Source organism: Homo sapiens, chromosome 2 (genome assembly GCF_000001405.40).
Source record: "Homo sapiens chromosome 2, GRCh38.p14 Primary Assembly".
Taxonomy (NCBI): domain Eukaryota; kingdom Metazoa; phylum Chordata; class Mammalia; order Primates; family Hominidae; genus Homo; species Homo sapiens.
The window spans coordinates 233531298-233557739 of NC_000002.12; the positions used below are offsets into that span (position 1 = coordinate 233531298).

The 26442-nt window shown below is 36.2% G+C and overlaps 1 protein-coding gene and 1 pseudogene across 25 annotated transcripts in view; one reads left to right on the top strand and one right to left on the bottom strand.

Annotated features, from left to right (window-relative positions):
* The window catches only part of USP40 (ubiquitin specific peptidase 40), a 91257-nt gene that overhangs the window by 55772 nt on the left and 9043 nt on the right, over positions 1-26442 (bottom strand). For 15 of the 25 annotated variants that reach the window (NR_168052.1, NR_168051.1, NR_168050.1 and 12 more), the window contains 7 exons: positions 25558-25722; positions 23083-23229; positions 20079-20222; positions 17804-17932; positions 10971-11066; positions 9365-9472; positions 2182-2482 (listed from right to left, as the gene is read on the bottom strand). Coding sequence is in view for 18 of the 25 variants with exons in the window: in NM_001382295.1 (NP_001369224.1) it covers positions 2182-2482; positions 9365-9472; positions 10971-11066; positions 17804-17932; positions 20079-20222; positions 23083-23229; positions 25558-25722 (1090 nt within the window). In the remaining 7 variants the exon portion in view is untranslated. Of the gene's footprint in view, positions 1-2181; positions 2483-9364; positions 9473-10970; positions 11067-11153; positions 11252-17803; positions 17933-20078; positions 20223-22846; positions 22915-23082; positions 23230-25557; positions 25723-26442 lie in introns of those variants that run through there. The other 10 variants (XM_047444889.1, XM_011511399.3, NM_001382298.1 and 7 more) reach the window with 8 other exon arrangements.
* PPFIA1P1 (PPFIA1 pseudogene 1) lies at positions 14185-15645 on the top strand (annotated as a pseudogene).

Genomic DNA, 26442 nt, shown 5'->3' on the forward strand with positions numbered 1-26442 from the left:
AATTCTCCCTCAGTCTTCTCTTCTTCAGTTTTTATTACTTTATTTCTCCAGGTGAATTTTAGAATCATTTTATAAATTCTATCCCTTCATTCCCAAAAAAGTACACCTAGATTTTTTGTTGGATCTTTGTTCAATTCCTAAGCTAACAAGAAAACTGTCATTTACATATTCCAATTACGTACACACTAAAATTCAATTCTGTGAAAAAGACTAATACTCCATTTGAAGATATTCTTTTTCTGATAGTATATATTTCTATAACTGTGAATTCTGATACACAATATTTTTACCAGAACCATTTCCATATCTTTTTTTCCTCCCAGAAAAATACAAAGCCTTTTTCATTAACAGCATAGTTATGTAACTGTTTTAGATCTGGAAAGTTAATTTCCTTTGATTCACATGCAAATTAGTAACTGCTTTATTCTTATTCTTCATAAAAATGATGGTTATTCTCATTCTCTAAGAACAATATTCTCATCTCTAATAATAGATATGTCTCAATCTATAAAGCTTTTCTCACTGGGGTTTTTAACTTTTGAGCGGACTTTGAGAAGTGATCGAAAAATCTTACTAGGCCTCATGCCTGTAATCCCAGTGAGGCAGGAGAATAGGGTCTGGAGACAGGGAACCTAAGGCTGTTTCACACCGACTTCCTAGAACTAAATTGAAAGGAACACCCTAACTTTCCATTCCTAAGTAACACAAGGACCAGAGGCTACTTCCTTTGACCTTTTCTGCGCACACATAGGAAATTGGCTGACCCCAACGAATCAGACAGTGGGTGGAGTCTTCGTTTGCAACTCTGTAACCATTTCAGCCTCTGAATGGTTGCTGTTGGCAACAAATAAGACTGAGCAACAAATCAGACTGATTGCTGGTAGGGTCTTCGTTTGCATCTTTGCAACTTCACTCCAGCCTCTGAATGGGTGTTGCCTGCAGCCAATCAGACTGATTGCCAGCTATGTCTTCGTTTGCAAATAAGTGTAACGTTGTAACTTCAACCTAGCCTCTGATTGGTTGCTTTCTGCAACCAATCAGATGTTTGCACATGATAGTGACCTTTGTAACTTCACTTCAGCCTCTGGTTGGCTGCTTTCTGCAACCAATCAGACTGATGGCGGGCTCCCAATTCATTTACATGAGGTGAGCATGAAGTGGCCAATGGGAAACTTCTAGGGGATATTTGGACCGGAGAAGATTCTGTATCTGGGCCCTTGAGCTGCTGCTCAGGCTGCTTCCACACTGTGGAGTGTACTTTTGTTTTCCATACATCTCTGCTTTTGGTCTTTTGTTGCTTCATTCTTTGCTTTGCTGGGCGTTTTGTCTAATTCTTTGTTCGAAATGCCAAGAACCTGGACAACTTGCACTCATGACCCTCTACCGATGACACCAGCATTTTGGGAGGCTGAGGTGTGAGCATCATCTGAGGCCAGGAGTTCAAGACCAACCTGGGCAATACAGCGAGACCCTGTCTCTAAAAAAATGAAAAAATTAGCCAGGTGTGGCAGCATGTACTTGTAGGCCTAGCTACTAAGGGAAGAGAATCACTTGAGCCCAGGAATTAGAGGCTGCAGTGAACAATCATGCCACTGCACTCCAGCCTGGACGAGAGAGTGAGGCTGCATCTCTAAAAATAAATAAATGAATAAATAAACAAAAAGTCTTATTGAGAAACAGGAAAATAAAGGAGAAGATATGAAAAGATATAAATAAAGGATAAATAATAGAAATAAAAGATATAAATAAGCAGAAAATAAAGGAGAAGATATAAAAGAATCAGGAAAATAAAGGAGAAGATATAAAAATAAGACCAGGGCCACTTAAAATTCAAAGGCAACATATGGCTGAATGACAGAGCCAAGTCTGAGCATATGGCAATCGCACTCAAGTTTGCCAACACAAGAAGGTTTTATGCTATCCAAGGAAATCCAATTTTGAAAATGTAATGATGATCTTACATTATTACAGGGTAGAAAATTAAAGAGAAGTATATAATCTTTATAAAATGACAAATTGTTAGATTTCATTTGGCATAATATAGTTCTTGTTAGCTTTAAAATATTTAAAAATGTTCCAAGAGTAAACCTTTTTTTAAAAGAATAAAAATTCAAACAGCATTCCATGTTTATCTTCTAAAGCCATTAACTGAAACAAATAGGAACATTTTTCTTTCCATACCTTCAGGGGGTCTCTGCAACTGGGATTTCCGATAAAACAACATGTAGGCACTTTCTTTACCCTGAAATTGCTGTTCAATATCCTTTTCCCTGATTGGCTGGACTTTAGAATCATTTATATCAAACCAGTGGGGACAGGAGATGCTATTGTTTAAACCTGGGGATTCTGGAGGAAGCATCTTGAAAATTTGCTGGTCATTCCTTTGGAAATCAGACTCAGCCTGGAGAGAACTATTCTTCAAGAGACGAACTGTACTTTCATCTGAACTGAGTAGAAATATCTGAGAATGGAGCTGTAAGAACTACACAGAAACAAAAAAAAAAATGCTAAGTTAATTATTTAAACAAAAATTAGATGTGATTAAAAAATGTTTTCTTCCTTTCTGTGATTAGATCATTTAACTTCATCTTTATTTCTGACCTGGCCAGCTACGGGGGAAAATCCATCTAGGTATCATAAAACATTTAATAAAACCACAGTGCTCTGTTAAATAGTCTGATAGTGACATCCAGGGAGGAGGTCGCTATGCCACAATCTAAAAAGCATTTTGATTACACCTCACTAGTGCTGTTTAAAAAAGTATTTAACTGGAACAGATTAGGTAGAACAAACACTTTTGAAATATTTAAAAGCAATCTAAACAAGGCACAAAACAAAGGCAATCACACAGTGTACCACCATAAAAGATAATTTGAAAACCCAGACAGACTCTGTTGGGATAAGGTAGTAATTATCAACCTAAATTATCTTTTAACCTGGACTAAAGTGAATGTTGTCTGTTCTAAAAGCTGGCAGACAAGCTCAGAAAATCAAAGCATAGTAAGGGTTAAGTCACAATCCCAAAGTTCTTGCTAAAGGATTAAGAAGAAAAAAATTTCTTTCTCCATTGCCTGTCTCTACCTCCCCATCCACTACGCCCCTATCCTCTCACTCTTTAACCTCTGTCTGGCCTTGAGTCTCTTTCTTTTCTCTCAGCCTAATTTACTTTATATAGAAAATTACTTGGGAGTTAAATTTGACACTTGGGTACTTCATCAATCACCCTGGAAAGGTGATTTGCTAATTTTTCTCTTGGAAAGAAAGTAATTTGTGGTAATGTCAACTCTCTGAGAATCAAAAGTATTATTTTATCAACAAACAGAAGAGTGTAGGGCATAACCCAAAGACAACATTGTTAACATTGTGTATGAGAACAGAGGGTAAAACAGCCTTGCAGCTAGTTTGTTTAAGGTACAAAAAAGTATCAACAACTTGAAAGCTTTGAGTAATGAACTTTCTTTTCATTTTTTGTTCTTTGGGTTTTTAAGTAATGAACTTTCTATATAGCCACGTTTTTCTTTGTTTGATAGTTGAGAATTAACTCTTTTAAGCCTCAAACATCAGTGCAGTCTAGTCCCATTAATGACAAAGAAATTTTCTTAGACTAATCTTCCTAATAAAAATGATAAACTCTAGGCAAAAAAGGAAAACAACTGTTGGGAAAGGAACCCAAAGTAGGCATAAAGTGAAGATATAATACTTCAAAGAAGGGAAGCAAACCAGGTGAGTTCTGCACTCACCTACCTACTACCCAGTTTGTAGCAGTGCATGATGGAACAGATTTCAAGAAAAGGCAAGAGTCTTACTGGGATGAGGGGACAGAATCTGAGAATACCAGAGAGGCGAGATCCCACGAAGGAGCCCCAATTCTGTAACAAATCCCCCTAAATCCTTGGCTAACTCCTAAATGGTAGAATGGACAGCTCAAAGAGCCCAGCAGAGAGTATCAGTTAGGAGGTTCAATATCTGAGCAGGGCTGCCTGATGCCAAGAAGAAAGAACAAGGAGTTCAAGTCCTACCAAATTAGAAAGAGATAGCAAACTTTTTCTTAAAGAGCCAGATGGTAAATATTTTAGAAGCAAAACTGAGAACATTACTTAGTACTCACTTCACCTTTTAAAAAGTAACCATTTAAAAATGTAAGGCATGTTCTTAGCTCAAGACTATAAGAACAGGCAGCAGGCCACATTTTGCCCACAGGCCATAGTTAGCTGAGCCCTACTGTAAGAGGAAGGACCATGACCCAGGGCTAAGCTATTCCCTGGAACTAAAGCCAAAATTGTAACAGACCCACCCTAAAGCCCAAAATTTAACTTCCACAGAATCTAAAAGACTCAAAGGTAATTTGAGGGCTTGTTAGAATGCAATGCAAAGCTCTTCAGAGAAAAATAACATAATCTAGACTCTCCACAACACATCATCCACAATATGAGATTATATGGAGCAGGGGGGCAAGACATGGGGAGATGATGGTCAAAGGATACAAAGCCTCAATTCAATGGTAGGAATAAGTTGTTTTTCTTAAAAAATCTATTGCACAGTATGGTAAATACAGAAAATAATAACATACTGTACATTTCAAAATTGCTGAGAATAAACTTCACCACAAAAAATAAGTATTTGAGATGATGGATATGTTCATTAGATTTTTCTGTATTGTATTTGCAAATTAAAACATCAATCTGTACCCTTATAAATATATACAACTAAAATTTATCAATTTGTAATTAAAAAATAAAAATTTATATTGAAAAGATTATATGACATGCAAAGAAACAGGACAATGTTATTCATAATCAACAGATGGAATGGTCAATTCAAAAGAGAATAAAAGAGTCAACAGAATCAAATTCAGAATTAATCTAGCTACTATAATAGCAAACAGCTATTATAAATATGTTAAAGAATTTAAAGGAAAAGATGAATAGAATGGGTAAAGAGAAGGGGAATTTCAGCAAAGAAATGTACACTTTAAATAAGAGCTAAGTGGAAAGACTACAACTAAAAAGTATAATATCTGAAACGTATAGCTCATTTGTTGGTCTTAACAGAAGAGTGGCTCAGTGGAAGAAAAAATTAGCAAAGCTGAGGACAGATCTCTGGAAATTGTCCAAATTGAAGTAGGAAAAGAAAAAAATTAAAGAACAAAACACCAGTCTGGCCAACATGGCAAAACCCTCATCTCTACAAAAAAATACAAAGAATTAGCTGGGTATGGTGAAACATGCCAGTAATCTCAGCTACTCGGGAGGCTGAGGCTGGAGGACTGCTTGAGCCTGGGAGGCAGAGATTGCAGTGAGCTGAGATTGTGCCACTTCACTTCAGCCTGGGCAACAGAGTGAGATCCTGTCTCAAACAAAACAAAACAAAAGCCCCCAGAACATCCAAGACCTGAGAGGACATATCAAATGGTCGAATACATACAGTTGGTCCTCAGTATCTGCAGTTTCCAAATCCACAGATTCAACCAACCATGAATCAAAAACATTAAAATAAATAAACAACAGTATAATAGTGAAAAATAATAAAAACTTAAAAATACAGTACAACTATTTACATAGCATTTATATTGTATTAGGTTTTTTTGTTTCCTTTTTTTTCTTTTGGAGACAGGGTCTCATCCTGTTGCCCAGTCTGCAGTGCAGTGCATGATCATAGCTCACTGCAGCCTCAGACTCTTGGGCTTAAGCAATCCTCCACCCCAGCTTCCCAAATAGCTGGGATTACATGTGCGCACCACCGCATCCAGCTAATTTTTAAATTTTTTGTACAGATGGGGTCTTGCTATGTTGCCAGGACTGGTCTTAAACTCCTGGGCTCAAGCAATCCTCTTGCCTAGACCTCCCTTTTGCTGGGATTACAGGTGTGAGCCACCACGTCCAGGCTATGTTAGGTATTATACGTAATCTAGTGATAGTTTAAAGAATAGAGGAGGATGTGACTAGGCCATATGCAAATACTATGCCATTTCATGAAAGAGACTTGAGCATCTGCAGATGTGGGTGTCATCTGGGGATTCTAGAACCAATCCCCCATAGATATGGAAGGATATAGTTAGACTCCCAGAAAAAGAAAGAGAGATGAGGCAGAAAAAGAAATTGAAGAAATAATGGCCAAAATTTTTCCAAAATTTTAAAAAAGACTTTGGACCACAGATATTAAAAATACTTAGCAATAGAATGTAAATAAACACAAGGAACACAATACCTAAATACATTATTGTCAAACTGCTGAAAACCAAAGATAAAAAGAAAATCTTAAAAGTAGACCAAGAAAAAGAAACATTACATTCAAGAGAATGAAATAAAAAATGACAGTTGGCTTCTCATCCAACATACTGGAAGCCAGAACACAATGGGCCTCTTTAAAACACTGAGAAAAACACAAAAATGATTAACTTATAATTCTGTATCTATCAAAAATATCACTAAAAAATGGAGGTAAAATAAATATTTTCAGACAAAATCTGAAAGCATTTTTCACCTGCAATTCTGAACTTCAAGAAATGCTAAAGGAAACTCTCTAGGTTGAAGGGAAATGATATTAAATGCAAACCTGGATAAATAACGAGCAGTAAACTCCAGAAAAGATAAATACGAAACACTATTCTTTCCTTAATTTCTTTAAAAGTCACTAAAGTGTTTAAGCAGAAGTAGTAACATATAGTGTAATTTACATTACATGTAATGGTAAAATATAAGAAGGCAATAGTAGGAAAAATGGGAATGGGAAAATGAAATTATACTATTGTAAGCATCTTACAGTATACATAAAGTGGTATACTATTAATTTGTAATTTATCATGTTAATTTATATATAGTGTAATCGCTAGATGAAATTAAATAGATTAAAAAGCCAACAAAAGAGCTAAAAATGGGACACTAAAAATTTATTAATCCAAAAGAAGGCAGGAAAGGAAAAAGAAAATAAAGAATAGAGGAGAAATAGAAAACAAATAGCAAGATGAGAGATTCAAACACAGCCATATCAATTATATTAATGTAAATAACTAAACATTCTAATAAAAAGGAAGAGACTGTCAAACTCTCTGTCATTTGACAGAAAACAGAAGAGCAGAGAAAATCAACACAGGCAAAGTCGTTTTCTTGAAAAGTTTAATAAACTTGATAAACCCCAGCAATGAAAAAGAAAGCTAAAAAAAGACAAATTATCAATATCAGAAATGAAAAAGGAATCATAAGTTCATATTCTACAGTCACTAAACGGATAATAAGGTGAGATTTTAAACAACTTTATGCCAACAAATTTGACACCTCAGATAAATGAACAAATTCCTTAAAAACCATAATTTTCCAAAATAAACAAGATCCAACTTCATACTGAGACACACATGTATAAGAAAGCTTATATGGCTACATTAATACCAGACAAGGTAGATTTCAAGGCAAGGGATATTAGCAGAGATAAAGACAAGCATTTCTGGTGTGGTGGCTCATGCCTATAATCCCAGCACTTTGGGAGGCCAAGGTGGGAGGATCTCTTGAGCCCAGAAGTTCAAGACCAGCCTGGGCAACATACGGAGACACCATCTCTACAAAATGAAAAATAAAAAAAAGAACACATAGCCAGGTGTGGCCAGGTGTGCCTGTGGTCGCAACTACTCAGGAGGTTGAGCTAGGAGGATCACGTGGGCCCAGGAGGTCAAGGCTGCAGTGGGCTGTGACTGTGCTCCTACGCTTCAGTCTGAGTGACAGAGCAAAACTCTGTCTCAAAAAAAAGGCAAGCATTTCACGCCAGGAGGCAATAACAATCCTAAATGTGTATGTACCTAATAATATAGCTTCCAGAAGATACATGAAGCAAAAACTGTCAAAACTTTTTTTTAAAAAAATGAGACAAATCCACAATTATAGTTGGGAGATTTAAAAATTCCTCAGTAATTAATAGAAAAGGCAAAAAAAAAAATAAGAAGAATAGAGAAGAAACAAAGAACACAATCAATTTGACCTAGTTGTCACTTGTGAAATGCTACATCCAATAACTGCAGAAAACAACCTCTTTAGTGAACACAGAACATTGAGCAGGATAGACAACACTCTGAACCGTAAAACAAGTCCTAAGAAATTCAAAAGAACTGAACTCATATAGAGTATGTTCTCAAAGTACAATGAAATTAATTAGAAATCAATTTACTGACATAACAAAAAGATAACTAGAAACCCCCTAAATATTTGGAAATTGACCAACACACCTCCAAAGAACTCAAGAGCCAAAGAAAAAATAAGAGAAATTAGAAAATATTTCAAACTGAATGAAAATGAAAGCTTGTTGAATATAACTGACTATATTCAACAATATAACTATAATCAACAATATAATTTGTTGAATATAACTAGTGCTTGGAAGAAAATTTATAGCTTTAAAAGTATTAGAAGGTTTAAAAAAAAAACTGAGTTACCAACCCAAGTAGCTAGAAAAAGATGATCAAATTAAGTCCCAAGAAGTAGAAGAAAATACTTTAAAATAAGAACAGATATCAGTGAAATAGAAAATAGAAAAGCAATAGAGAAAATCAATAGCATTGCATCAAATTATATCTAAGGCAAAAGCTGGTTTCTTGAAAAGGAAAAAATTAACTTGATGGCCAGGCAGATCACTTGAGTCCAGGAGTTTGAGACCAGCCTGGGTGACATGGCAAAACCCTGTCTCTACAAAAATTAGCTAGGTGCAGTGTCACATGCCTGTAGTCCCAGCTACTCAGGAGGCTGAGGCAGGAGAATCACTGGAGCCTGGGAGGTGGAGGTTGCAGTGAGCTGAGGTCGTGCCGCTGCACTCCAGCCTGGGCGACAGAGTGGACCTCAACTCAAAAAAAAAAAAAAAACAAAAAACAAACCAAAAAAAAACTTGATAACCCCCAAGCAACACTGATGAAAAAAGGTGAGAAAATAAAAATTATTAATATCAGAAATGAAAATGGAACATAGCTTCAGGTTCTACAGACACTAAAAGGATAATGAGATATTTTGAACAAGTTTATGCCAATAAATTTGATACCATAGATAAAAAGGCAAATTCCCTTACTAGAATTTTGTGTAAAAAATCAAGTGAAATCTGGGTGAATACCTGAAGACATTTCTCTAAGTAAAATGATAAGCTTTAGGGGATGAACTCTGACATTTTTTAGGAGTCACTCCCCACTATTTTTGCTTACTTCTTGTTTCTATGATAAATAACTCAGTAAGTAATACTTAATAAGTAACTTAGTAGGATTCTAGCCATTATACAAATACGGTGATTTTATTTTCACCTATTTTAAATATCCTTCTGCAAAGGAATTCATGTTGTTGCGATCATAATGAAATTTCTTGGGACTAGGACTTCCCAAAACGATGCCATGTATTACCTTCCGCAGTGGTCCATGCTGTTTTCTGTACTTCTTGTTCCAAGATATTCCTATCTTTTTCAAAAGTTTCTGGCCCAGCTGATCAACAGGAATTAGATTATTCTCCTCCTTATGAGAGAAACACAGTCACTCAAGAAAATCTGATGAGAAATAATTGCATACTTAACAAATTCAAAGAGACCAACAGGATTATACCTAATTAAATATGCCTAGAACAGCAAACACGTAAGTTGATTCCATCATAATTATTTTATTATAAAAAGTTTTTTAAAAACTGGTTAAGCCTCAGTTGAGAAAACTTGGATTTTTGCCATTTTCCATGTGCCATCTTCCATTTGAAGAGCAATATCAAAAGTAGCTCAAGGTTTCGTAAATTCCCAACATTAAAAAGGAATTTTCCATTTAAATGTGTAAATTACTGATATTAAACAAGAATTTTGGAAGAGATACGTAAGTACAAAAACAAAGATGATTAATGTCTTATCTAAATGTTTTGAAGTATAAACAAGTTCTAAAAGGGGGTGAGATGTAGCGGTGACAGACTGAATTGTATCTCCCCAAAATTCATATGTTGAATTCCTAACCTACAATATTTCAGAATGTGACCACATTTGGAGATTAGACCTTTAAAGAGGTGATTAAGGTAAAACGAGGCTGTTTTCCATTTTAGAGTAGGCCCTAAGTAAATCTGATTGGCATTATCATAAGAAGACGAAGTTTGGACAAAGTGACACCAGGGAAGCACACACACAGAAGAAACACCATGTGAGGACACAGGAAGAAGACGGCCATCTGCAAGCCAAGGAGAGAGGCCTCAGAAGAAACCAAAACTGCCAACACCTTAATCTTGGACTTCCAGCCTTCAAAACTGTCAGAAAATACATTTCTATCATCTAAGCCATGCAGTCTGTGGCATTTTGTCATGGCAGCCCTAGTAAATTCATACAATAGTCATAGATCAATATAATTAAAGTACTCGACCCAGGTCCCTAGCAGGAATTATAACAAATCATTTATTAAGGATGAATGAATAAATGAAAGAAGACCTCACATCTTTAAAACAGCATATTAAACAAACTTTAAAAGTCATCTACTTGAGATATTATCAGTGAGTGCTAGGAATGAAAAAGGGGACACACTTTCAGGTCACATAGACATTAAAAGGATAATATGGAAATGCAATAAATTGCAAAACAGCATTTAGTAAAGCTCAATTTGGTTTAAAATGACAATAATAGCCAAAAAAGTCATAACCCAATTCCAATATACATATATAAACATAAAGAAAACAGAATGCAAAGAATATATATCAAAGTGTTAACAATAACTGTCAGTATCTGGCCTACTTATACTTTTTATCTTTTGTATATATTTTCTGTTTTTTTCTTGAATTTTCTACCATGAATATGTATTTCATTCATAACCAGAAAATCCCCACAAACATCATTAAAATATAGATACAGAGAATGTCCTTAAGGAAAGACTATGAATGGTAATAATATCACACCTAGCAATTAAACCGCATACATTCTTACATATATACACACATGCACACATACACACAATACATACCATACATACAAATACATACACACACATACTATACCTCTAATAAGATTGCTTTTAGAATCATCAGTGGATGATCAATCTCTTCTTCACTCTGGAGATCTTTCAGATTCACATCTGGTTTACTTTTTTCCTCCTAGGAAGGAAAACAGTATGAGTTTCTATCACTAACCCCTTAAAAAGTAACAAAATAGGAATGTTGGCCAGGCACAGTAGCTCACACCTGTAATCCCAGCAATTTGGGAGGCCGAGGCAGAGGGACTGCTTGAGCCAGGAGTTCAAGACCAGCCTGGGCAACATAGAGAGACCAGCACACTCTACAAAAAGATAAAAAAAATTAGCCAGGAGGTTGAGGCGGGAGGACTGCTTGAGCCCAGGAGGTCAAGGCTGCAGTAGGCCGTGATTGCGCCACTGCACTCCAGCATGGATGACACAGAGCAAGACGTTGTCAAAAAAAAAAAAGGTTTCAAGATGATGAAATGGTGGTAAAAACATCACAATAATCTGCATATGCTTGGAATGAGGCAGACCTGGCTTTGAATTCCAGCTCCTGGTTGAGCAATCCTGGACAATTTACTTCATCTCTCTGGCTTTAGTTGTAAATTGGGAATACGAAACAAGTAAACCTTCTAGCACAATACACACAGTGGGTTCCAATATTTTCCAGCTTAGCACTACTTTAGCTACATTTTACATAATTTGATATGTTGAGTTTTCATTAAAATTCAGTTCAAAGTATTTTCTGGTCTTCATCCCGTATGGTCTCATTCACTTGTGTTGACCTAAGGAAATTCTACTCATCTTTGCAGGCCAGGCTCAGATTAAATACTCCTTTCTATTTCCTGACCATCCAAGTTTTCACCCCATTTTATGAAGGTATTGGGGAACATGTCAAAATTCCCCGGTAAGTTATTTTCATTGCCTTTTATTTCCATACATGCCATCTTGCAGAAGTATTTTAAATGGACTTAAAACCAGAAATACAGATAGTCCTAAACAATGCAAGCCAAAAATAAATAATCAATAAGTGATGGAAAAATATGGCAGGCCAGATACAACCATCCTGCTACAAAATTACTAAAAATGCTAGATAAAGTAAAACCAAAACAAATAAAAACATCTTAAACACACCATGAGCTTGCAAGAACATCAGGGAAAACTCTTCTGAGGTCAAAAAAGTGAAATGGGAATGTGGGGAAGAAATCCAAAGATGAGGCCTCCAGATGTGCAACTGCTATGGCCAGAGTAGTTAGGTTCCCCCAAAATTCATACGTTGAAACCTAACCGCCAATGCAATAGTATTAAGAGGTGGGGTCTTCAGGAGATAATTAGGTCACAAAAGATGAGCCCTCATGAATGGGAGTAGTGCCTTTATAAAAAAGGCCTGAAGGAGTTTTGTGTGTCCTTTCTGCCATGTGAGGACACAGCAAGAAAGAGTCATCTATGAAGCAGAGCAAGTCCTCACAGACACAAAATCTGCTGGTGCCTTAATCTTGACTTCCCAGCCTCCAGAACTGTGAGCAATAAATTTCTGTTGTTTACAAATTACCCAGCCTAAGTGTTGTGATAGAGCAGCCTGAACCTGAATGGACTAAGACACCGATCTTGCTGACACTGAACTTCCATTTTGATGCCCATACAGGGCAGAGTTGGGGAGAGAAAGCCTAGGCCTACCCAAAGGAGGGAGTCGAGGGACTGGTCTTTCAAACAACAATCAATTCTCCAATTCTCTGACATCAACTAGGTGTCACACAATTGTATTCAATTCTGACACTATCAGGTGACAGCACAGACTCCATAAGTTGAGGACTCAGTCCCGTAAGACTGTTCCCTACTTCAAACACCAACTACATACGGAGTCCCTAGGGTACTCACACTTCTGCCTGGCTGATTACAAATTCTAGGGTTCCCATCACCCCAACTCAGGTTCATAATTTTCTGGAACAACAGTTAAGAACTCAGGAACTTATACTACACTTTATTACAAAGGATATAAATGAATAGCCAGATGGAGACAGACATAGGGCAAGGTCCAGAAGGGCCCAGAGTTCAGGAAACTCTGTTTCCGTGGAGTCGCGGTGGCCACCCTCCCAGCATGAAAATGTGTTCACCAACCCAGAAATGCCCCAAACCTAATTTTTCAAGAGGTTTCACTGAAGTTTCATTACAGAGGCATGACCGATTAAATAAATCACTCGTCACTGGTGACTGAACTCAATTTCCTGTCTCTCTCCCCTCCCCAAGGTCAGGGAAGCAGGGCTGAAAGTTTCAACCCTCTAATAATGGGACTGGCTTCTCTGGCAACCAGCCTCCATCCTGAGGCATCTAAGAGTGACTTCATTAACATCAACTCAGGTTTGGTGGAAAGGGGCCCATTATGAATAACAAAAGACACTCCTATCACTCAGGAAGTTCCAAGGAGCTCTGTGCTAGGAATGGGAACTGGAAAGGATGACCAAATATATACTTCTTAATATATCACAATGACAAAATCCGGCAAAAAGTTGGAATCCCTAAATGGCTATACCTTCAATATAACCACGACCTAGAAAAAAAATCCACCTTACAATAAAGGACAATGAGGAACTGGCTTGCCTTGACCTTGATACTGGATGAAGGGGGAAAAATGTCCTTTAATAATCACAAGTAGGTCCTCATGTGGGTTTGTGTCCCAAATTCATACTAGCTGTATTGCTCTAAAACCATCAATTTGATGTTGTTAAGGGCTGGTAGCGATCTCAGGCTTGTGTTAGAGACAAACACAAATCTTTCTTGGAAGAAGGCACTTTTAACTCAGTCCTCAAATTACTCCCGTAAATCAAGTTCTTAAAAAGCAAACAAACAAGCAAAGCAAGAAGCCTACAGTCCACAATACTAAAATCACAAGGAAATACAATCAGCAACATCAGAAGATATCCAAGTCAGACCTACAAAGTCTTCAGATGCTGCAATTATCAGAAAGAAAATAATAAAATAAGTATGTTTAAGGTGCTTGAAGAAATTTATGACAACGGGATAAGAGATTTAAAAATGACAGGAGGGAAGAGGCAAACCGGCAATGTAGAGATGATGCTTGAGCCTATGAGCCCAACATATGACAAGTTGATCCAGATGACATATAGGCTGGGCCCAGTCCTCCTCCACTCTGCCAGTGTCTGACCCTGGCCATGTTGGGACAGGCTGGTCCAGTCATAGAGCTGCCAATTGGGTGCTGTCATGGAGCCTTCTTTGCCCCACTTCCTCAAATGTGCAAGATGATGTTCCAAATGATGCCAACCATCTGTGAAGCCAAAGTCCCCCCAGGAAGCTGGTGGCATGGATCAGGCTCCTCTTTATAGCCAGATCTACATTCACATTTTGCAGTTAGTGGCCTCCATGCTAGAAGAAAGGGATCATCTTCCAGGCACACTAAGAGAGACTAAAATGTTGGCTTTAACCCAGAGAAAATTACACGAGATTGGTCCTGAAAACTACTCCTTACAGGCAGTACCTACTAAAGAACTCCATGTATGCAGGGCACAGCTCCTTCAAAGGGAAGAAGTAATTGCTGAACTGTAAGTGGAAAGAACACTACCTGGCTACGATTAGAATATTTGGGACCCTTTGTCTGTGGGCACAGGGGATCTGTCAGGATAATGGTAGTAAAGAGACAAGCACAGTGTCCACCAGATATATCTACTGCAGGTGAAATTCTTAAAGCACAAAATCATTATCTGAACACCATGAAGTTCTGGATGAAAAGCTAGTGATTCTTAAACAACAGAACAATAAGAAAAAAAAATAACAAATGGGATGCTTGATAGCCATTAACAAGAAAACATACCAAGCACAATATTCTATTGTTCTCTAAGTCCTGAGGAAGACCTTGCTAAGGTGTTAGAGCTTCAAAAATGGACAGGCAGTGCAGAGACTGAAGCCACATGAAGGAATGCCTGCCTGCCCTTTGAGTCATGTCACAGAACTGGGAAGAGATCCTGATGCTGCTAGAAAGAAGCTGATCAATTCTGAAGAAATGAGCACAAAACTCCAAAAGAGATGTCCAGGAAACCACAACCCAAAAGAAATTCAAGGAAGAGAGAAATCACTACTCTCAAAACATGCTGCCTCACCAGAGTGTGAAACTGCCTTTGTACATGACCTCAGTGATAAACCTGAAGATGAAATTGCAAACAGATATTTTATGCATCAAAAAACTGAGGATAAATATTGCCAGCTAGAAAAATACCTCAAATCTTCAAACTGGCTGAGCAAAAACTGTAGCAGGCATCAAGGAATGTAGGGGCATACTCCCTGAGGTGGAACCTGGGCTGGCACAGAGGCTGGGAGCACTTCCTAAGACTGAAGAGAGACACGGCAATATTGAAAAAGGTCACAAAAGGTGGAGGCACAACTGGAAGAAAAGAGCCACGAACTGCAATGGGAATGGGCAAGGCAAAAAAAATGAACACCATAATAAACACTTACCAGACATGGACAAGCTTCGATCAGAATCTAATGAAAGGCTTCATCTTAAAGAGAGAGCAAAATAAAGCCTATTTGATAAGATAAGGGGAGTTTAAGGCGGAGTGAGAAGGCCACTTTCTTAAGGATTCTCTACTGTGGGAAACTAAAAATACAAGAAGGTAGTTTGAGGGAAGGTATAACAACACGATAAGGATTGGCTCAAATTAAACATGGTAACAGTAAGGGCCGAAACACAGTAGATGAGGATAACAAGTGTTTAACTTCCTCTAATTGGGAAGGTGCCCGGCAAGCTGGTATCTTGGCAAATGTGACACAAGCATTTGAGAGCAATGCTTGTACAGCTTTCCCAAGCCAGAATGGGAGTTCCATTCACTGCAGTAAGCAAAAGAAATGGAAGGCAAAGGATTTGGACAGGTAAAACAAAACTGTCTTTTTCCATAGATGACTTCAACATGAGTGTTTAGCAAGATTATTGGTTGTTAGTGTATAAATTGTTTAATATTTTATATATTTTGGTATATAAAATCAACATACTAAAGAAAGTTACATTTCAATACATCAGCCACAAACACTCCAGAAAACACAAAATTTAGGCATAGATCATCTCCCTGGTAAACATGTTCCTGGTAGAACACAGTTTGACTTTTTTCATATCCAAACTTTACAGAACATGTATCTCTCAATACGTTCCAAATACAACTGATAGAATGTCAGAAATACAGACGAACACTTTGAAAAGCTGGCTGAGTGTCATCAAAGGGACTGTGCATCTTGGATACTGCTGGCACCACGAGATGCCGTATTACAAGTAAATGTGGAGCAAGTATTCGTCAACAACAGCATTAACTTTCTGATAACAGGAAGCTATGCTTTAAGCATTTTACATCCTAACATTACGGTTTGTGACTTACTTATAGACGTTTTACTGTGTCTGGGGTTGATGTGTAATAGATTATAATTTCTTGGGAACTAGACACCGGTTAGCACTTTCCCTCAGAACATCTGCAAATTCTTTTTTTGAGAAATATTATAAAACTTTTTAATAAGACATTAAAGGGACTTTAGAAAATGAAAATGTATATCTTGTGCACATATGAAGACAGGAAATCCCACTGAGTATGTGTGTGTATATGTGTATGTGCACACACATGTGTATCTGTGAGATTACTGACAAGGTGATTCTAGAAATGTACACAGAAGCATAAAAAATGAAGACAGGTCCCACACTCCTGAAGAATGACAGCATGTAGGGAGACTTGTCCTACCAGAGATCAAGACTTATTACAAAGCTATGGAAATTGACAATGTGGTATTTGCCCAGGAATAGAAAAAAATGAACAATGGAATAGAATAGAGAGCTGAAAAACAGACTCACACAAAAATGAAGAGTAGACATAACAGAACTGGCATAGTACATTGGTAGAGAAAAATTGATTACTCAATAAATAGAAATAGGTAATTTTTTCAAGTGGAAAAAAATCCTTCTTACACCTCTCATAGGAAACCATTCTAGGAAGATCAAAGTTTTAAATGTAATTCAATCAGTGGTTATTGAGCACTGTTTCAAAGAGCAACCATGAAAGACATGACTATGCATAATAAACAGGACAAAATTCACCCTGGTTTTAAATCCTATTGTGAAAGCTACAGACACGGGATTTATTGTTTTTATCACATGTTCACCTGCCATCTGCAGGATACAAAATTAATATTGTGTGTTATCTAAATCAATGCTCATTTTATTTTTCAGAAAAAATTCAATAATTGTCAGCTATAGGAATTGTGCTGTCTCTTTATGATAATGGAGTAACTGTATAGCTAAGGAATGGTTCCAGATTACAGGAGAGTTAGCTAACTAAATACCATGCTTGACACTGGATTTGACACTAGAGTGGGGGAAAAATTGCCATGAAGGATGTGAACTGGAAAACTGGTGGAATCTGAACATAACTATTAGACAACAGTATTATATCAATGTTAGAAGTTCCTTATTTTAATCAATGCTCACGTAAGATAACATCCTTGGTTTTAGAAGATAAACACTCAAGTATTCAGTGGTAAAGGGACCTGGTGTCTTCAACTTAATTTCAAACGGTTCGCACTAATAATGATAACGTTAATAATGTGTGTCTGTGTATGCACATGCACAAATGTGGCAAAATGTTAACAATTAGAGAATCTAGGTAAAGGGTATACAGGAGGTGTTTTTACTATTCTGGTAATTTTTCTGTATGTGTGAAATTATTTAGAAATAAAAATTTAAAACTTGTATCTGTATTAACTTTCAGTGCCTATCAAAGTTTTCTATAGAGTGGATATATAATAAATGGTAAACAAAATTTCCTCAACAAAATAATAGGAATAGAAAAGAAATTGCAAAGATATTTCTAAACGAATTTCTATACGTACTTGAAACTGCCAGTTTCCCAAATGATCAACATCTTTAATATATACATGGTAATGGCCTCCGTAGCAGCCACCTTTGTGTATAATAACTGAGAAGAGGTCATATATATATTCTAAGTCATCCAATTCACTCTAAAAGAAAAAAGAACAAAAATATTGATATAGTTTTCATAAAATGCTGATAATAATCAAAAGAAAAAATAATTTCAACTACTGAAATTAATAAGAAACTTCACTGTTTGTTATTTAAGAGTAAAGATGAATTCAAGTAATTGGCTTTAAATTTAAAATTTTTAAATTAATTGATCTAATGGCCAGTCACACTACACCAATCAAATTCTGCCTCTTAGTTGACCATGAACACAAGTACCTGAAAAATACGTTACTTTTATGTACTTTGGCTAAGATCATGTAAGCCAATAAAACAATGAAATATGTTACCCTATCAGTGAGTCTGTTGTAGAAATTTTTAGCAAGAGAAACCCATCTTCGTACAATACCTATTTACGCTGCTTTATAGATGCACTCTTCTTTTAAAATGCATCCCCTTTTTTTATTGATATATATCTAGTTGAAATTGTCCTCTATTTCAACTAGGTTGTCATGTGCCTCAAAGTCAAAGCCAGATCAACTATCACCCCTCCTGACACTACAGTCCTCTGTATAGAATAGGAACTTACTAATTATGACTATCAACTGTTTTTGTTTAGAGGCAGTTTAGTGGAAGAGGTTCTTTCTTGTTTTATTAATTCTATGATCAACATTTTCTATAATTAATATGCTCCATAATCATGAGTGATCAAACAGATGTACTCCCACACTAGCAATTAGAAACAAAATAAAATAAAAAGCTAATTTAGATTAAGAGATACTTTAAAGATGTTTATTTAAATTTCTGATGCAGAAGAAAAAAGAAGCCTTTTTCACATCTGAGGGCTCTAAAACTACATGATATAAGCTCTCTTCTGGCTTTGACGTCTAAACTCAAGTCAGTGCTCATCTGTGATGTTCAGATGTACATATGGTGGCCGCTTGATGGGTGTCAGTTATTTTAATAATTTATTTGCTTAAAATATTAAACTTTTTAAGTGGGCAGCATTTTAAAATGTCTAGTACAGGCAAAAGACAAGGTGTACACAAAGATGCCAAGTGACTTTTTTCCATTAATACAGAAATCCAAAAGTAAAATGAATGTGGACTTCCTATATAAGTGCTCAATTTCTTCAATTATTTCAGTTTTGTTACATCAAAGTATGTTAAAAATCATGTGACAAACTATCTTTTATAAAACAAGAAACAATTATATTAACTAACTCTGGGAAAATTATTTATTTGGTTACGTCAATAATAGCCTCAGGGGCAACAGAATATTAGAACCTTTGAGTGGTAATTCAAACAACAAAAAAAAAAACCCCAAAAAGCTCAGCAATTTGGCTTGAAGTAAAGGAAGGCCCATTTGTGAAGATCCCGAATTTAAGAATGTTTAGAAAAAGATTACTTTTTTTACACAGAAACTCAATAGCTAGCTAATAAATGTTCTATTCTGAATAAACATATAAGAATGATTTGTGATAAGAAATAATTACTCTTTTCACCCAGACCTTGGTATGTACAGCAATGTTATAAAAAACATTTTTAAATGGCTTACAAAGTAGGTTGATTTTGTAATTAATTTGTTTTCAAAACCTTTTCTTTCCCTATGTCTTAAGGATTACAGATTCTAGACTAGTGAATTTCCATTTGCCTCTTGACTTTCTAGATGCATAAATTCATCATTACATGTAAAATAAACTAAATCCAAATTAGTGGTACCAATTAATGGTGAGTTTTCTAAATGCAGGGTAAACTTCTAATTTTGTTCTTAAATTTTCATTCCAAATATTTTAAAGAAGGGTTTAATAAAAAGAACTGGGAATAAATCTATACTTTGGAAATTCAAAATGACTCTAAATAAATCAGTGGTTCTCAAACAGGGTCAATCTTGCCCACGCTGTCCTCGCAGGAGACATATTTGGCTTTGTCTGAAGACAGTTTTGGTTGTCACAACTGAGAGAGGGGGAGTGAGGCTGCTACTGTCATCCAGTAGGTAGAGGGCAGGGATGCTGCTAAACACCCTAATGCATGAGACAGTCTCCCACAACAAAGAATAGTTTAACTGAAAATGTCAATGGTGCCAAGGTTTAGAGATTCTCACAATAAACCAACTGAAAATCGGGTCAATAATAGATTCAATCTTGAGAGGGGAAAAGAAAGAATTTAAAAATAAAATAGTTCAAACCTGTTCACAAAAGGGCTTGAGATTAATCCGGAGAGGGAATGTATAACAGCTAGTTTCCTTGTAGCGTTCGCATTTCACAAAATCAAAATTAAATCTTAGTAATGAAACAGTAAGAAAAGGAGGCAGCTTACGTAATTTGGCCGACTGTTAAAAGAAAAATTTACAAAGCTTTTTAAAAACAGGGTTATATAAAAGGATACATAATGTTTCTTAAGGTCTGAAAAAACAACCTATGACACAGTTCTAAGAGAAATATTACATAAACTCATTACCATGGATTCAACATAACTCGATGTCAACTCATCTATTTTATGGGTCTAAAGGTGGAGCCACTCATTTGTGCTTACAATTAATAATTTACAACCCGGTTTTATCTTTAATGTTGATATCCTGAAATACTATTTGATGAGTGGTGCCTATTTCCTGCCCAATTTCTGGCCTTTCACCTTCATCCTTGGTGTCTCCACTTTACCTGGCAGGTCTACAGTTCTTTTTAATCAGTGAAGAACTGGAGCTCTTAACCTGGGACCTAGGAACCTGTTTTAAAGGATCTGAAATGATACAAAAATTATACATGCATATGTATTTTTCTGAGGAGAAGATTCATAGCTTTCATGAGACTTGCAAAAGGCCTCTAACTTCCCCAAGGGCTAAGATCTATTGATTGGGATTAAGCTGCTTTTTAAGAGTATCAGCTGTGCCCAACCTCTTGGATTATTGGTCTGTGAGGAGAAAAAAAATCCTCCTTGATATATAAAATTACCCATAATCATATATATCTAACAGTGCTAAAAATATATTTTAAAAAACAGTTTCACAAATCTAGTGGGTAAAAAAAAAAGTTGAATGAAAAAAAAAAAACAAAAAACCCCAGCAATATAACAACATGGTAGATTTTCAAACAAGCTCTAAAAATGCATCTAAAAAAACTGAGTAATTCAACTATAATGTGGCTGAGAAAAGACTGCTTAGGACAAGAAAATCTGCATTTATTTAGCAGTACAGCCAAACATAAACTTAGAATGCAACAAATCCAATGCATAGAATAGAATATAAATTTAGAAGTATCAAGACCAAAAAACTTCCACTGAAAAAGAATTAAAGAAATGTGATAAAAGGTATATTTAAAAACTGCATTTGTTTAGCAAAAGGTTCTTATTTTGTAATGTGAACATGAAGTCTAACCAAAAGCTGAATGTGTAGGTATCTTTCCAACACTGTTCCAAACTCTGAAGTTTATACACCAAAGTGAAATACAAAATAAATAAGCAAATGATAAACCTCTCTCTTTGGGTTTGATGAAGGGGCAAAAACTGGATGGAAATACATGTGAAACAGTATAAAATTCAATCTTCCCGTGAAAGCTACAGGCACAGGGTTTAAGGTTTTATTATAGTTTTATCTATAATCTCCAGGATACAAAATCAGTATTGTGTATTATCTAAATCAATGCTCATTTTATTTGCTGGAAAAATTCAATAATTGTCAGCTATAGGAATAGTGCTATCATAATGAAGTGACCGCATAAATATGTCTCTTGTGGTAGCTGTTTAAGACAATGTTCAGTAACCCACTGAGTGAACTGAGCTCAAGGTGATGATGTTTATGAAAAGCTCATCACATCACCCACAGCAGTGGGAACGTCACCACTGCAGATAATAACGACAGCAGCAGGGTTGATGCCATAGAAGCTGAGAAGGAAGGGACAGAGAAGGTTAGAGACAGCACATCCAGGCCACAGGAAATGGTATTAATATACATACATAGACATAGATACATTTATCTATAATAATCATTTTTATATTAATGTTAATGAATTACTAGTATTTAGCAATTAACTAGCATTGGTAATGCTTTTGGTGGAAATTAAGTGTGTGAAAAATACATTAAAGAACAATTCCATAGTGAGAAATCACAGAGAATTGTGAAAAGGAAATATAAATGAATGGCTGCTAGAAGATAAAATGGGAAAAAAACCCACAAAACATTTTTTAAAAATCTGTCCTCCAAAAAGAGTTATTCAGATGTCCATCTCCCTTAGAACAAATAGATATCCTGGACCCAAAGGGCTTGGACAGTAAAGCACAGAGACAGACCTCACATCAGTACTGGGATAAAACACCAATATGTGGCAGAGGGATTTTCAGAAATGCCAAAGTGCTGATATAATAAATCCCTGCCATATCAGAAAGGAGCTGGAATGTGCAAAACTTAAGATGCATGAAAATAACACCAGGGAGGTGTTCCACTAAGCTAAACAGTAGTTGCCTCTCATTTCTCCTCTTATCAAAGTATCTCTTCTTTCCTGGAATGGAAAATAACTATGAATTATACTACAGGAATGGCTACTGATATATGAATGTGATGAATAAATTTGAGAAATGTCAGAATTCTGTTTATTGGTTTGTTTTACTTTTCCCTCTTAGCTCTCACATGGCAAAAGATATCAGTTGCTTCAGTCCTGACTTTCTTTTGTCTTATATTTTGCTTGACTGTACAGAAAGAAAATCAGAAGTATTCTGTTAAATTCCTTAATTAGCAAGTTAAATACTCCCACCTGGGGGAGGAGGTAAGGCTATATTGGATTTGCCAGAGTGAGGAAGAACATATGTCAAGATTATAAAATAACTGTATATTAAGAAAATGAAGACAGCCATCTACTTTCATAGTAGTAAAGAAAGCAAAGCTCAACAAGCTTCTCAGTGACAGAAATAAAAATATATACAACTTTTTTCACAGCAGTAATTGCAAAAAGGAGGGATACTTACGAAACACTGAGGTACAATAAAGTTTTCCCCGGAGAAAAGGAAGTTGGGTGAACTGTTGGGTTGAAAGCCTTAAAAATTCATTATTGTAAAAAATTAAAATACAGAAAATGATGTAAATATCTTTTCAATCCTTAGTGTCAACAGCTTCAAGTATATCCTCGAGACTTTTTCATACAAGTTGACTTGTACTAACTACAAAGTGGGGACCCTGGGAAAAAGCAGTTATCTGTCTTTACCTTTGCTGCTTTAACCAGCCTGTCACAAGTTCCACAGTGGTACAAGTTGTCACAATCAAAAACTTCCTCTTCTACATACATGTTCCAGAGAGCATCTTCCAAACCGGATACATTTTTGACTGCTACTGTTAGATCTAAGAAGTCTTCCTGAAATAGACATGAATATAATATTGAAAAACAATTTCAGAGGTTTACAAACACATCATCAACTCACATATATATTGGGAATAATCAGATATATGTTTTCTAAAACATTACAAATAAAGATGTAGATCTCCTGATTAGATGTTGTGAAGTTCATAACACTAAATTATCCTTCTTTTGAAATTGAACTATAATTTAGCTTAAAATCTATCAGAAAAATATAAGAAAAGTTTATGAATTTACCAAAGATACAATAAAATCTGTTTTATGAGGAAATATAAACCACAATAAGACACGTATCTGAATTCAGAAGTGCATATATACAAGGTATACAGTACTGTTTTAGACTAGACTATAAGAGCAAGGGCAGGGTTGAATTTTCTAATGTAAACTCCATTTCTTTATTTTCTTTTGCTAGGGTTGCCTTAAGATATACTAAAGAAGTTATAAGAAAAAAAAATTATATGGCCAGCCTGGCCAATATGGTGAAACCCTATCTCTACTAAAAATACAAAAAAAATTAGCTGGGTGTGGTGGTGCATGCCTGTAGTCCCAGCTACTGGGGAGGCTGAGGCAGGAGAATTGCTTGAACCTGGGAGGCGGAGGTCGCAGTGAGCCGAGATTGCGCCACTGCACTCCAGCCTGGGCAACAGAGTGAGACTCCATCTCAAAAAAAAGAATTACGTTAAGCTAGGATAAGAAGGTCTTCCTATGAAAATCCAAGAGAATAGTCTGTAAAAAGAGGGTTTATGAAATCTGCTATAACTACATTTGAATCACAATATTTCTAGTAATAAGCACTTACAATTTGGCAAATTTAATTTATATTTATAGTTCTGTATGTGTGTGCAACAGCTTTATTTTAAGAGATTTTGGGGAATGAAAATAGGGCACTTGTTAACTCATGGTGAAGATTTCAAGTACCAAAAGTAACATTTATACAGTATATGGTTTATAATATATACGTGAAAAGTTAATGTCTTTAATTTATAATGGCCTTACATATGTTGTTTTGAAAATACTCTGATTTACTACATCATAGCTAAGTCAAGCATGTAGTAATTCAAAGACACACGCAACATCTTAATTATTTCCAAACTTAAAAAATCACTCTTTTTTTTTTTTTTTTTTGAGACGGAGCCTTGCTCTGCCACCAGGCTGGAGCACAGTGGCGCAATCTCAGGTCACTGCAACCTCCACCTCCCGGGTTCAAGCGATTCTCCTGCCTCAGCATCCTGAAAATCACATATTTTTATATACACATCTATTTTCAAGAAAGCAATTAACACCTTTGAAAATGCTAATTTTGGGCCAGGCGCGGTGGCTCATGCCTGTAATCCCAGCACTTTGGGAGGCCAAGGTGGGCAGATCATGAGGTCAGGAGATCGAGACCATCCTGGCTAACATGGTGAAACCCCGTCTCTACTAAAAAAATACAAAAAATTAGCCAGGCATGGTGGCGGGCACCTGTAGTCCCAGCTACTCGGGAGGCTAAGGCAGGAGAATGGCGTGAACCCGGGAGGTGGAACTTGCAGTGAGCTGAGATCGTGCCACTGCACTCCAGCCTGGGCGACAAAGCAAGACTCCATCTCAAAAAAAAAAAAAAAGAAAATGGTAATTTTGTCCTGATACAAATACACAAACTTCCTTGGCATAAATAACAAAAGCAGCCTTTTATTAAAGGATCAGTGATGAATTCAGTGATAATTGACTATATAAGATTTGTAGGGCAAACAGGATTACATTTACATGAGCAAATTTCCAATTTCTAATTTCCAATTAGATTAAATGGGCAATATGTGTCATTACAAAGAACTGAAGGTTATACTAATTAACATAGGATTACAATAGCTTTATATATAATATATAAACATAAGCACACATATATAAATGAACTTTCTGAAGAATATTAATAAACTAAATCCCATATTTAATTACAAATGTTTGTCAAATTAAACACTCCTTGGTCCTCAGTATTATCTATTTTTATTACCTCCCTAATTAACTTTCTTTACAATATTCCAACCATGATGACACTGGCTTCTCACATGAGGCCACAGTCTTCTATTTGTAAATATCCCCCAAATCTATTTTCCAAATATTAGGGTACTGAATAAAAGATTAAGTTTCAAGATATTTGCTTCTTTCAATCTACATGGAGAAATCTGGATTATAGGCTCATGATTTAGGTGTAGTTAGAAGAAAAAAAAACTCAATAAATTACTTTTAGTAATAAACACTTTAATCCTTGTGTGGTATATATCATACATTTAATTACATGGATTATAATTTACAACATAACTTATTACTAAAATACTCTGGCATATTTACCTGCCTCTCGCTAACGTTCTTACATTCTTTACAAACAATCTGGTTAACAATGGTTCCATGGTACAGACGATAGATGAGGTCATGACCGGAGGTCCCAACTAAAGAAGTTTCCAAAGCGCTGAAGAGGATTCGATTCAGTTCCTGCACATCATGTTGCCTCATTTCCTACAAAACAGGTAACTTTTAGATGTAATTCCGGGCTTCAGATTTTTTAAAACATTAAAAAAACAAACATTAGTCAATAAAAACTCAAGATTTATCAAGCAATCTGAAGATCAGATATAAGAATGACTCAGCAAAACAAGCTGAGCTGGTTAAGAGATTACCACCTATTTTTATTTATACTAAAAAATGAAAATATGAACAGGCTGGGTTCAGTGTGTACATGTAACTCAATTCCTTTGACACCCAGAATGTGCATTTATTCTTGTGGGAAACCACACACATGGCCATGCCACAGAAAGCAGAGAGGGATATACCAGGCACAGACCAGTGTCTAAGAGCTGGCAGTGTCTGCACAGGAACACCTCACTGAGATCAGAGCACATGTGAATAGTCCGAATTATCAACAATAGAAAAGAACTAGAATGTACTGCTTTGAAGTAAAAACAACTAAAACAAGACTAACACAGTGTTACTGAGAAAAAAATCCTGATGGAACTTGCTTTAATCCATTATGAGTCACGCAGTTGTGTGTGAACTTGTGCTTAAGAAAAATTTATAACCAAACCAAGGGGCACACCAAGACTGAGAAGTGGAGAAGAGGAGGAAGAGCAGCTGGGGGGAGGGCCAGGAGAGTGAGGCCCCAGGAAGCAGGAGGAGCTGAGGCTTTAAGGAGGGTGGTGAGTGCTGCTGAGAGCTCCTTCTGCTGAGAACAGAGAAGTG